Source organism: Homo sapiens, chromosome 1 (assembly GCF_000001405.40).
Source record: "Homo sapiens chromosome 1, GRCh38.p14 Primary Assembly".
Taxonomy (NCBI): Eukaryota; Metazoa; Chordata; class Mammalia; order Primates; family Hominidae; genus Homo; species Homo sapiens.
In genome coordinates, this window is record NC_000001.11 from 59,087,033 (window position 1) to 59,100,478 (window position 13,446).

General features: G+C 40.9%; 1 long non-coding RNA gene across 1 annotated transcript in view; it reads left to right on the forward strand.

Annotated features, from left to right (window-relative positions):
* Window positions 1-1,215, forward strand: part of LINC01358 (long intergenic non-protein coding RNA 1358) — a 67,772-nt gene extending 66,557 nt beyond the window's left edge. Inside the window, exon 3 of the long non-coding RNA NR_110626.2 lies at window positions 983-1,215. This is a non-coding gene — a long non-coding RNA (long intergenic non-protein coding RNA 1358). The remainder of the gene's footprint in view (window positions 1-982) is intronic.
* The last annotated feature ends 12,231 nt before the right edge of the window (window positions 1,216-13,446 follow it).

Consider the following 13,446-nt stretch of genomic DNA (forward strand, 5'->3'; position numbering starts at 1 on the left):
CTCAAACTTCAGCCTTCAAGGTGCTATTTTCTTTCCTATATCTCCTCTCAATTCTTTATAATGTAGATGAACTGAGTTTCTGTCTTCTGCCTTGTATGGACTACCTCTCCTGCTTTTCTCTACGCATATTTCACATAAAGCACCACAAAAATCAAGGACTCATATTAGCAAAGATAGAAATCTCCATAGATGGACTGGGTTCATGAGAGAGGAGGAAGGAGAATGGGGCAGAAATGGTACTCAAAATTATTAACAATGGATATAGTAAAGTGTATTAGTCCATTTTCACACTGCTGATAAAGACACACCTGAGACTGGGAAGAAAAAGAGGTTTAATTGGACTTACAGTTGCACATGGCTGGGAAGGCCTCGGAGTCATGGCGAGAGGCAAAAGGCACTTCTTACATGGTGGCAGCAAGAGAAAATGAGGAAGAAGCAAAAGCTGAAACCCGATCATATCTCGTGAGACTTATTCACTATCACGAGAATAGCATGAGAAAGACCAGCCCCCGATGGTTCAATTACCTCCACCTGCATCCCTCCCACAACACATAGGAATTCTGGGATATACAATTCAAGTTGAGATTTCGGTGGGGACACAGCCAAACCATATCATAATGATACCTATGAATCAGAATAGATTAGCCAAGGAATTGGATTAGGGTCCTCAAGGCCCTCTAATGTCCAATGACTTAACCACTGGGCTGCTGACTCACAGGGGGGTATGGAAAATCCTGGAGTAGAGTCTGGAATGGCTGAGGTAACAGAGAATATTCAAGGGACTCAGGGCAACAGAAATCTATCAATTGGTATAAAAATATTTCAATTTTTACTATTTTAACAACTGGTGCAGCCTTACAGGTACATTGCAAACTCTCTCCAAAGCCTGAGCTCTTACCACCACCCCACATTCCCCAAAATGCATGCAAAGAGTCTGACTAGGGAAAACCGTAGTACGTTTCCTCTCTTCTCTCTCTCGTAGGCATTATAGTATACATAGCCTTGGAATCAGAAGACCAAGAACATACAAGAGAACATAGCCTTGGAATCAGAAGACCAAGAAACAATTTAACTCTGCCCCTCTAGAGCTCTGAGAACTTGGGCAAGCCTTTTACCCTCTGTGAGTTTCAGTTTCCTCATTTATTTAATTGAAATAATAATACAGATCACCTGAAATGTAATGAAAATTAAACATCCTTATGTAGGTGAAACCAACTGGCAGCATGCCTGGAATATAGTGAGTGCTCATTCGGTCTCTTGTATTTTCTTTCTATACCCTACTTCTGTTCCCTTGGATTCATATACCTGAATTGGAAACACCCAAAGTCAAAAAGAATAAGAAAAATCTTTAGAAATGTAGCATATTACCAAGATCTGCAAATTTCTGCCCAGAGCAGATGGTTCTAATAAAGAAAGTCGGATCTTATGTTGAGTTCTTTTCTGTCCAAGAATAGAAGACCTTCCCTCTTCTCCAGTAGTGAAGAATAGGATTCATCAGCCTTGGGGGCAAAGTTAAAAACTTGCTCTAGAAAGTGGCCTGGATAGTCAGAAACTGCTTAGACTCACTCCATCTGTTCTATACACATACACACACCTTTGTTTGTCAGTAAAATATTCAATGAGACTTGATAGTCCAATCCTTTGAAACCAGAATAATATTTGAAATTTTGATGATTTTATCTAACTGCTAATATCACTTGCAGGTCATCAGTGTTTTACATCCAACAAACTAATGGTCATTTGCTGCTTTATAAAGAGCCGATATAATTTTGTCTTCCTTGTTATTAAAGGATCAAGCAAGGGTGTTTCTGTACCAGTTCAACTTTCCTTATTTGCTTATTAGTCAGTAATATTCAAGAAAATCCTAGTTTTAAAAAATGTCATTACATGTTAAACTGTGGAAAGAGTCACCATCATTTGAATAAATCTTGAGTAAGCCCACTGTATTAGTCCATTTTCATGCTGCTGATAAAGACATACCTGAGACTGGGAAGAAAAATAGGTTTAATTGGACTTACAGTTCCACATAGCTGGGGAGGCCTCAGAATCACGGCAGAAGGTGAAAGGCACTTTTTACATGGCAGTGGCAAGAGAAAATGAGGAAATGCAAAAGCAGAAACCCCTGATAAAACCGTCAGATCTCATGAGACTTATTCACTACCATGAGAACAGTGTGGGGGAAACCACCCCCATGATTCAAATGATCTCCCACCAGCTCCCTCCCACAACATTTTGGAATTATGGGAGTACAATTCAAGATGAGATTTGGTTGTGGACACAGAGCCAAACCATATCAGCCACTCTACTATCATGTTCTTAAAAAGTTATATGTTTGTGACACCCACGTATGCAGAATTACTCTATCAGTTAAGTGTATTTTGTAGAAAAGTCAGTAAGAAACCTGCTTTACTAAGAACAGAAAGAGTCATCTGTAAATAATAATATGATCATTGTCATTTACTGAATACTTATTATGTGCCAAGCTACTGCTATTGTGCAATTGAGTTATTCTTGTCTGCTTCCCAGAAAAGACAAAACACTGAAAACAGCAGATGTTGCAGCAGAGAAAGAGTTTAATAATCACAGGGCAACTGAATGAGGAGGACAGAAGATATTTCTCAAATTTGCCTCCTTGAGAAATCAGAAGCTAGGGTTTTTCAAGGATGGTTTGGTGGGCAGCAGGGCTAGAGAATAGAAAGTGTAATTGGTTGGATCGGGGATAAAATCATAGGGTGTCAAAACTGTCTTCTTGGCTGGGTGCTGTGGCTCATGCCTGTAATCCCAGCAGTTTGAGAAGCTGAGGAGGGTGGGTCACCTGAGGTCAGGAGTTCGAGACCAGCCTGGCCAACATAGTGAAACCCCCGTCTCTACTAAAAACACAAAAGTTAGCACGGTATTAGTGGCACCCACCTGTAATCCCAGCTACTAGGGAGGCTGAGGCATAAGAATCGCTTGAACCCAGAAGGCAGAGGTTGCAGTGAGCCGAGATCATGCCACTGCACTCCACCCTGGGTGATAGAGTGAGACTCTCTCAAAAACACCAAAAAACTGTCTTCTTGCACTGAGTCAGTTCTTAGATGGGAGTTACAGGACCAGTTGAGTCAGTTTCTTGGCATGGGTTACCAGTCCAGGTGGTGCCAGTTGGTCCATCAGAAAGGAAGGTCTAAAAAATATCTCAAACACCCGTCTTAGATTTTACAATAGTGACATTATCTAAAGGGGCAATTGGGGATGTTATAAATCTTATGACCACTGGCTATGTGACTCTTGAGTAATAAGCAGTTCCAAAAGGCAGATTATAAAACATAGCCTGGTTACAGTTTAACAATACCTGCAACTTAGCAGAAGAAACAATGACCAATTAGAGTTTATGCCTACATCTCAGCATAATTGAGGCCCCCACCATAATTCTACCTTGTGGCCTTTCATTAGTTTTACAAAAACAGCTTCAGTCACTGAACAAGAAAGGGGTTAGTTTTTGGAGGAGGCTATTATCATCCTTAGTTTAAAATTAAAATGTAAACTAAATTCTTCTCATAGTTAGCTTGGCATACAAGTAGGAATGAGAAAAGGTAGCTTGTGAGGTTAGAAGCAAGACTGAGTCAGCTATGTCAGAATTCTCTCACTTATAATTCTGCAAAGGTGATTTCACTACCCAATATTAGTAGTGAAGGGTGTAGTAATGGAATGAGATAGAGAAATTTACTTAATGGAACACCTTTCAGGTGGGCTCTGTGAGTTTAAAAGGAACTTTAATAGGTGGCTTAGGGTGGAAGCAGAGCTGAGATCCCTAAAGAGTTAAACAGCTTCTAAGGAGGCTCTGCTAGTCATGGAAGCACTTTGTGTTTGTTGAGTAGGATGTGTGAGTTTAGATGTAAAATTCAATCAAGACTAAGAAGCGGTGAGAGACTGAAAGGATCCTGGAAGAATTTGAAAGTTGGAGAATGGAGCTTTGCATGGTAGACAGATGAGCTAGTTTAGGGGCAGCACAGAAAATAGATTTAGTAAGTATATGAAGAAAGATAACAGAGGATTCCAAGTTCTTGATCTGGAATGTGTGATGTAAATTACCTCTTCTGTCTCCCTGATAAGATCTCCAGCAAAATCCATTTTTGGTAGAAACGAATTTCTTCTGGAGAGTGGAAATTAGCGCTGAGACCTGCATAAAGTTGAGGCAAGGGTGGGGCTGCAGGTGTGCACTGCCTACATTTGGGAAATAATAATTAAAATGATAACAGTAGCAGCTTCATTGCTGAGCCCTCATTAAAGTTAGGATTATTGTAGATCTTATCACAGTTAATCCTCATTGCCACCTCTTAGTTCAGTGGATTATCCCTCATAATATAAATGAGGAAACTACAGCTCAGAATGTTTAGGCAACTTGCTTAAGGACATTCAGTGGTATGTGGAAAAGCTAGAATGAGGACAGAGTCTGTCTAACTTTAAAGTTGTCTGCTCCTATTCACTGCTGTGCTTCCTCGTTAAAGGTGGAGGTGAGGGGCAGGCATATAGATTAAGCAGTAGCTTTTCCAAGATGTACCTGCTATGTGGGACAGTCAGAGTGTTTGACTACTTCCATTCCTGGATCCCTGGTCTCTGGTGTCCCAGGAGAGCCTATTGATTTCCAGGTACCTTCCTTATAGGTTCTTGGGAAGATTATATAAGTTAATGCATGTAAAATATGCTTAAAACAATGCATGGCATTGGACATTCCCAATAAATGTTGTTCATTATTACGAAGAACTTTACAGACATATTCTCATTTAATTCTCACAAATGTATGAGGTAGAAACTATTATCGCCATCTTACAGAAAATAAAACTGAGAGGCTAAGTAATTTGCCAAGGTTCACACAGAAAGAAGGCTATAGAGCATGAATTTAGCCCCAGATTGAAGGATTCCAGACTTGTCACTATATCCACTGTTCTCAGCTCCTTCTCTCTGACTCTAGCTCCCAATGTTTCTGAAGTCCACTTGTGATTCAAGCATTCATGCCAAATGAATGTACAAATTGTGAACTTCTAGATCCTGCTTCACTCCATATTCCAAGGAGCCGGAGGCTGAAGCCAGCAAGTCAGGCTCCTCTAACATCCCACCTTCTGGCATGAATGTGAGCATGCAATGTTTAGTCTATTGTTGGTTTCCAGCAAGTCTGAATTTCAAGTCCTTTTGCTGGAGGATTACAACTTAGGAATCCAGAACGAATGGCTTTTCCAAAGCACTCCTGGTCACATCTTCTGCACTTATTCATGCTAAGATATTTTATCATGTTACTTATCTCACGTGATGCAAGTAAAAATCTCTGTTATCATGACATCTGAGTTTAAGTAACAGGCGACTCAGAGGTGTGGTGTGCATAGGCATGTGAATCACATTCTCACCTCCCAAAAATTTGTTTTGAAGTTCAGAACTGTTTGCAATGACCACACTGAATATTCAAAACTATACACTATAGTTACAGTTATTCTAAACTTTGAAAAGGACACTTGGAGGTATGTGATAATGGATTCTGGAGTCTAGTCATTGACTTTAGGGAGATGAATCCCACTTCCTTCACTTACTAGATGTGTCACCTGAGACAATTAACCTTATCTCTTGAGGCCTCCATATCTTCATTTTCAAGAGAAAATAATAATAGTAGTAATATTCTTCTTAAGGCTATTGTGAGGCTTAATGAGCAAGTGCATGTAAATGCTTAGACACATGATAATAGCTTGATACTGATTGTCTGTTATTAGGAGCCAATAACCCATGATTCCTCTGGGAACTTAGTAATTTGGGTAAAAACAACTAGCACAATGTTTGGCACAGAATAACTACTCAATAAATGTTTGTTATCAACAGTGCTGCTGTTGTGGTTGATCTTATCATTAAACCTGAAGTCTTTTATCTTTGATTGATTGATTGATTCATTTGTTCCTAAACCTGAAGTGCCTTCTCTGTGTTAGACATTTCTCTTGACATTGGAATGGGTCAGTCATCATTCCCAGTATCAAGAAGTTCACAAAATCATGAAGGAGAAAGATCAATGAAGAGAGAAAGGTCTTAGATGCCTCAATTAGAATGAAAGGGTATACTGGGGTCAGTCAGGGAGGGAGATTGGTAGACATAGTAATTTCTGTATCAGGAAGAGAGACCAGGAAAAACTCCACTAAAGAAGGCACTGAGCTAAGGTTGAAGGAAGTGTGGATGGTCACTGGAGACAGGGTAAGGGGGAGGGCCACTTCTGGTGGGCAGCCTTGAAATGTAAAGCAGCATGTGTTGAAGTTGGCAAACAACAGAAGGTCCACACTGACTTGTACATAGGTACGAAAACATAGTAAAAGACTCAAATGAGAATATATCTGGATGAAGCATAAAAGATCCAAAGGTGAAGGCCCTCTGTGCACAACAAGGACTGGAGTTCCATCCCCAGTGGAGAGACATTGCCTAAATTTAAGCTGGGACATGAAGTGATGGTCTCTGTGATGGTCTCCATATTCTAGAGAATGGGTGGAGGATGGGTTGGAGGGGTCCAGATGGGGAGAACAATCCTGAGAGATGAAGAGGACCAGTGCTAGGGCAAATAGAGCAAGGAGAAAGAGGGGAGAATAGACTTCCCAGGCTTTGCTAACTGCTGGAATGCAGGATATGAGGCTCAGGCAACTAAATGGATATTCACACCATCTACAGGGAACACAGGAAGGCAAAAAGCAGGTCTCATTTAACAGTGATGAGTTCAAGTTGGAAAATATTAGGACAGTAATGCCCAGGAGACAACCACCAGGCACTGATGTACAGTAGCATCCTGGGAGCATCCAAGTCATAAACAGGTTATCATCAGCATGTAGGTAGTTCGAAGCTGAAGGTAGCTGAGGTTATTTAAGAGGAGACTGCTGAGTTTATGAAGAAGAGACATGAAGATAAAACCTTAGTGAACTCTGATATTTGCTAAGCTGGCTGGAAAGCAATGCCCACAAAGGAGACTGATGAAGAAGGATTGAGAGGGGTTGGAGAGAAAAGATGGCATGATGGCATGGAGCCCAACTAAGGCCATGGTCTTGGGCATCAGATAAGAGTAGACTTGAGTCTAGTTTCTGCCACTATGAACTCTGTGAGCTTGTGCAACTTAGTTCACATTTGAGCCTCTATTTCCTCTTTGGTAAAAGGAAACAACAATGGCATCTAGCTTATAAGATCGTTGCGAGGATCAAGTGAGATGTTGCAAGTAAGATTAAAAAAAAAGCGTCCTGCAATTACTAACAGTGTGGTAAATGTTAATGAATCAGGAGAATGTGTCACAGAAACACAGAAGGGAAAGAGTTTTGAAAAACTGACCGTCAATACTAGAGATGTCAGAGAGAAAAATCAAGTGAGAAGAGGCCTTAAAAGTAACCAGTGGTGACAGGTTCTGCTATACCCTACACCTCAGCATCAGGCAATATATCTTTGTAACAAATCTGCACATATACCCCCAATTCTAAAGTAACAGTTGAAAAAGAAAAAAACAGGCTGGGCATGGTGGCTCACGCCTGTAATCCCAGCACTTTGGGAGGCCGAGGCAGGCGGATCATGAGGTCAGGAGATCGAGACTATCCTGGCTAACACGGTGAAACCCCGTCTCTACTAAAAATACAAAAAATTAGCCGGGCATGGTGGCAGGTGCCTGTAGTCCCAGCTACTCAGGAGGCTGAGGCAGGAGAATGGTGTGAACCTGGGAGGCAGAGCTTGCAGTGAGCTAAGATCATGCCACTGCGCTCCAGCCTGGGCAACATAGTAAGACTCCATCTAAAACAAAAAAAGAAAAAGAAAATGAACAAAACAAAACAGAGGCCATGAGGTTCACTCTGCCACTGTGGGAGGAGCTGCAGTCACATGGTCCAGAGAAAGGTGAAGAACTGGTGCCACTTCTTTAAGCTGCCATCTCACATCCACAAATGGCTGCTACAGTCAGTTCGTAGTGCAAGATGGTGGAACACACTCAGTACACTTTAAAAATAACAATATTCCTCCCCTGACTCTAAAAGTAATACATGCTCATCATGAAAAAGTATGAAGGGGAAAATGAAAGTCACCATAATTCCATCTCCTCACATGATCCCTGTTCGGATTTTGCTGCATATCCTTGCAATGTGCACATCGGTTTACATGCTCAAATAAACAAAAGCATAGATTTATATATAACGAAAGTGAGAGCATACTTTATTTGGTTTTGTATACTACCTTTTTCACTTAATCTAATTTTATGAGCTTTTTCTTGCAGGAGTAAATATACTTATCAAATAAAAAATTAAATAAATAAAATGTAAAGTTTAAAAAAAGTGACCAGTGGATTGGGCAGTTGGAAGGCCAGTTAATGATTTTAGAGAGGACAACTTCAATGGCACCGCACCCATAGAAGCCTGATACAGTGGTTTCTAGGAGTAGGGAAAGGAGCTTCAGTGAGACCTAGTTCCTCATTGTAGCTTTATTATTAGACACAGGTAGAGTATATGTCCTACCCTGATTGGAATCACTCCATCCCTGGATGATTGCAAATAATCCCACCAACCTCCAGCCCAAGTGCCTGCCCTCCCCTCCCATAGCTCCTCCCCATGTCCTAACCCCATCATGTTCCTGGCTACTTGTCCAATGCCACCCTCCCTGCTAGAATGTAAGCACCACAAGAGCAGCAGCTGGGCAGGCCTTGTCCAATCTGTGATGGTTAATTTTATGGATCAACTTGATGGGGCCGTGGTGTGCCCAGACTACACATTATTTCTGGATATGTCTGCAGGAGTACTTCCAATGAGACTAGGATTTGAATCAGTGGACTTAGTAAAGCAAACAGCCCTCCCCAGCCTAGATGGGCATCATCTAATCCACTGTGGGCCTGAATAGAACACAAGGCAGAGGAAGGAAGAATTCACCCCTTTTTTTTCCTCCCTCACTGCTTGAGCTGGAAGCTGATCTCATCTTCTCCTGCCCTCAGACTGGGAATGACACCATTGGCTCTCCTGGATCTCTGGCCCCCAGACTTTTAGACTGAATTACACCCCCAGCTGTCCTGGCTTTCCACCTTGCAGACAGCAGATTATGGGACTTCTCCATCTCTGTAAGCACTTGAGCCAATTCCTAATAATAAATCTCCTTTCATATTGGTTCTGTTTCTCTGCAGAATCCTGAATAATACAATATCTGGGTGCAGAAGACAATGAGTAAGAGAATTCCAGCTAGAATTTCAGCTAGTGATGAAGGTTGTGAAAGAAACCTAAGGGTGAAATGGGGTAGAGAGGGGTCTGGGGGTGGAGGAAAGCATTAGCTGTTGTGGGCAAGAAAGACCTTGGTGAGGAGGTTGCTTTTAGCTGAGAGAGGCAGCCATGCAAGGCTCCTGAGGGAAAACATTACAGACTCTGAGACCAACAGGCTCAAATGTCCAGAGGTGGGGACCAACAGGACCTATTTATGGAGAAGAAGGAACCAGAGAGTAGAAGGCCAGGAGAGAGGTAGGAGACAAGTCTGAAGGAGAGGGGCCAGGCCTCATTACTTCTGTCATGGGCTCTCAATTTCCTTGCACTGGGAATGTCCCAAAGGCCACTGATACACGGACTGAGCGGACTTCACGGACGTCACATCAAGTGTCACCCCTAGCAGCGGACAGTCTCCTCGGCTCCGTGCTGATAGCTGCAGACTCACACCCCTGACCATCCACTGGATTTTTGGCTTTAAGGACCCAAGGCATGTGACAAGAGATAAGCATTGCACTGAAGGTCTTTGTGTTTCACTCTATAAATGGAAAGAGGAAGAAAGACTTTCCCCCCACTTTTTATTTGTAAAAGTGTCAAAAGCTACAGAAAAATTGCATGGATAGTACAACGAGTACAAGTTCATCAAGCCACCAAGCAGCCCACCAAGGGTTCACACTTGGCAACATTTGCGTGCTCTCTCTCTCCTGTGTGTATGTGTGTGTATTTACTTTCAATTTTTTTGCTGAACCATTTTAATACTAGTTGCAGTCATGATACTTTGATTCAAATACTTCAGCATGGAGCTTCCAAGAACAAGGAAACAAGAATACTCTCCCACATAACCACAGTTTTCACACTCAGGAAACTTAATACAATACTATAATCTAATACACAGTCCAGATGCAAATTTCCCCAATTGTCCTCAAACTGTCCTTTAAAGTTGTTATATTTATCCAGGATTCAATCAAGCATCATGTATTTTAACTATCATTATTTTTAGTCTCCTCAACTAGAATTCCCAGGTTGTTGTGTTTGTTTGCGTTTTGTCTTTCATAACAGTAAAATGTTTGAAGAGTCTAGGCCAACTGACATAAAATATCTCCCTCAGTTTGGATTCATCTGCTTATTTCTTCTTGATTCGATTCGGGTTAACCCATTTGGGCATGAATACTAGATAGGTGATGTTCCTTCTCAGGGCCCGACAGTATGCTCTATCATTGGTGATATAAATTTTGATCACCTGGCTAAGTGATGCTCACCAGATTACTCCACTGGGGATGTAGCTTTATGCCTTTGTAGTTGATAAGTAATCTGTAGAGTACTATACTTGGAGACTGTATGAATATCCTGTTTCCCAGCATCTTTTCATGCAATGGTTTTAGCTCCATTGATGATTTTTGTTTGAATCCAGTATGATAGCCATGCTGATTTTCTATTTTTAGAGTTCCTGCTACATTTCCATATTGATATTCTTTAGTAAGAAAGAGCTTTCCCTGTCACCCACCTCCAGAACATATCCATTCTTGCACTCTTCGTGCTTGGGTTACACTGTTCAAGATTCAAGTTCCATCCAAAATCAAAGTCCAGTTGGTCCAGTTTAGGAAAGGGTGATACAACTTAAATTGACAGTTCCACTAAGTCTGGAGGAAGAGGTCATTCCTCAAAGAAAACATGAGGTGCAATTATTAAAATCAGGAGAAAGGGAAGCCAAGCAGACAAAAGCAGCAGCTGTCCTTAGAGCAAGGAGTTAATATTAGCGGGACTTCTTCCCATCACTGTGTGAACCATCTTAGTTCTCAAATAGCCATAGTTTAAAAAGGACAGGGGTTTAGTGCTCACAGCATCCCAGACTGTTATCTTATGCTTCCTTGCATGTGGCCTTCATTCCCAAAGTTACTTCATGGTCCCCGATAGCTCCTCTAGCTGAAGTTTTCACCCCCGTATTCCAACCAAAGGGAGGCAGCGGAAAAATGGGAGAAAAAGAAGGCCATGTCTTGGTACTTTAAGGATATTTCCTAGAAGTTGGACATGCCATTTCTGCTGACCTCCCGCTGTGCAGAACAGATTCATGTGGCTATCCCCAACTATAATAAAAACTGAGGAAATGTTGTCTTCATTCCAGACAGTTGTTTGCTCAGCTAAGAACTAAGAGTTCTATTTGTTTTTGTTTTGTTTTTTTGTTGTTTTTTTTTTTGAGTTCTATTATTATAGAGGAAGGAGAAAACTAAACTGGGAACAATTAGCAGTCTCTTCCCTGGATCCCACAAGAAACATGCTAGTAAGCTCATTTTAAAGGTGAAAAAAAAAATAAAGCTTAGTGAAATTAAACAACCTGAAAAAAGTCACACAGAGAGTAAATTATTGCGTCTGATTCCAAAGAACTCTGTGCTAGAGTAACTCTAATTTTTTTCACATTCAGTCCACATCCTGAATCTACATATCAGTGTAGTTTTGCTAAATTACCCTCTTTGGGGATTGAGTTGCAGCCTCATGACATAATGACTGGTGATATCAGGTCCTTCTTAGAAACGTGCTGTTCATTTCTGGCTAATGTTCCCTAGACAATCAGCACAGATACTGAAACCCTGATACATCCATGGCAGTGACAAAAGATGCAGATGGAAAGTAGAATGACAGTGGGTGTGTGCTGGAAAGCACCCCAGCCTGGAAGGCTGGATACCAAGGTTCCCGTCCCAGTTCAGTTACTCACTAATTATATGATCCTGGTCAGATCATGACCCACTGTTCCCCAGTTCCCTCCTTCATGTATTCCCTCCAGTTCTGATTCTGTCTCATTTTAGGTAATATCTGCTTGCGTGATGAGTCAAACTGGGATCTGGATCATAAAAGTATTTAAAGCCTTCACTTTCTACGCTATGCGATTATAGAATCTGTTGAAATTCCAGGGCCTGGCTTGCTAATTGGGTTTACATTTTGCTTTTATAAAACCCCACATGATAAATAGGAAAGGTTCATTAACCAGGAGCTTTATAACAGCAGGAATCATGTTTGGTTTTCTCATCATTATATCCCCAACAACTGGCACAGCCCCTGGTACACGATGAACTCCAGAATATCGATTTACTTATTGACTGACACAGACAATGTTATTGCTAGATGTATGTAACAAATTATTCTCTTTCTCTCCCTGCCCAAGAGCAAGCATGAGCTTCAAGGGAAGGAATAAGGAAACCAGGATTAACACAGCGCTTATTCTGCAATTTACCTCATTTACTTTTCATAAAAAGTCTTCAAGAAAGATATTACAATCCCCTTTTTGATTGATGAGAAATCTGAGATTCAGAAGGATGAAGTAACTTAAGATTACATAACTTTAAATTAGAAATGTTCAGAAATTATATGAAGAAAACTAAAACACACCTAAAAGACATAAAAGTAGACGTGAACAAATAGAAAAATATCTCTGTTCTTGGTTCAGACATCTCAACATTATCAGTCAGCCAGTCTACCCTAAGTTAATTTATTAATTTATTGTAATACTAATAAAAATACAAAAAAGCTGTTTTTCCTGAAGCTAAACAAGCTGATATTAAAGTTTGTACAAAAGGCCAGATGCGGTGGCTTACGCCTGTAATCCCAGCACTTTGGGAGGCCAAGGCAGGCGGATCACGAGGTCAGGAGATCAAGACCAACCTGGCTAACATGGTGAAACCCCATCTCTACTAAAAATACAAAAAAATTAGCTGGGCGTGGTGGCGGGCACCTGTAGTCCCAGCTACTCAGGAGGCTGAGGCAGGAGAATGGTGTGAACCTGGGAGGCAGAGCTTGCAGTGAGCCGAGATCGCACCACTGCACCCCAGCCTGGGCGGCAGAGCGAGACTCCATCTCAAAAAATAAATAAATAAATAAATATTTGTATAAAATAAGAATGCAAAAAAATGGCTAGGAAAACACTGAAGGAAATTGCTAGAAGAGGGCACTAGCCCTACCAAATATTAAAACATCTATAGGTTAAAATAGTGTAACACTGCTATGTGAATAGGCATACCAATAGACTAGATTAGGAAGTCCAGAAATAAACCTAACCATATATGAAGTTCAAGAATATAATAAAAGTAATAACTCAGATCATTAGGACAAAAATGGACTTTTTTTCAAACTTTTTTTTAATGATCAGAAAAAAATTGACTTTTTAATAAGTGGTATTGGAACAATTAGACATTTGAAAAATATAAAATTAGATCTATTCCTTATACCATAGATAAAAATAAATTCCAAA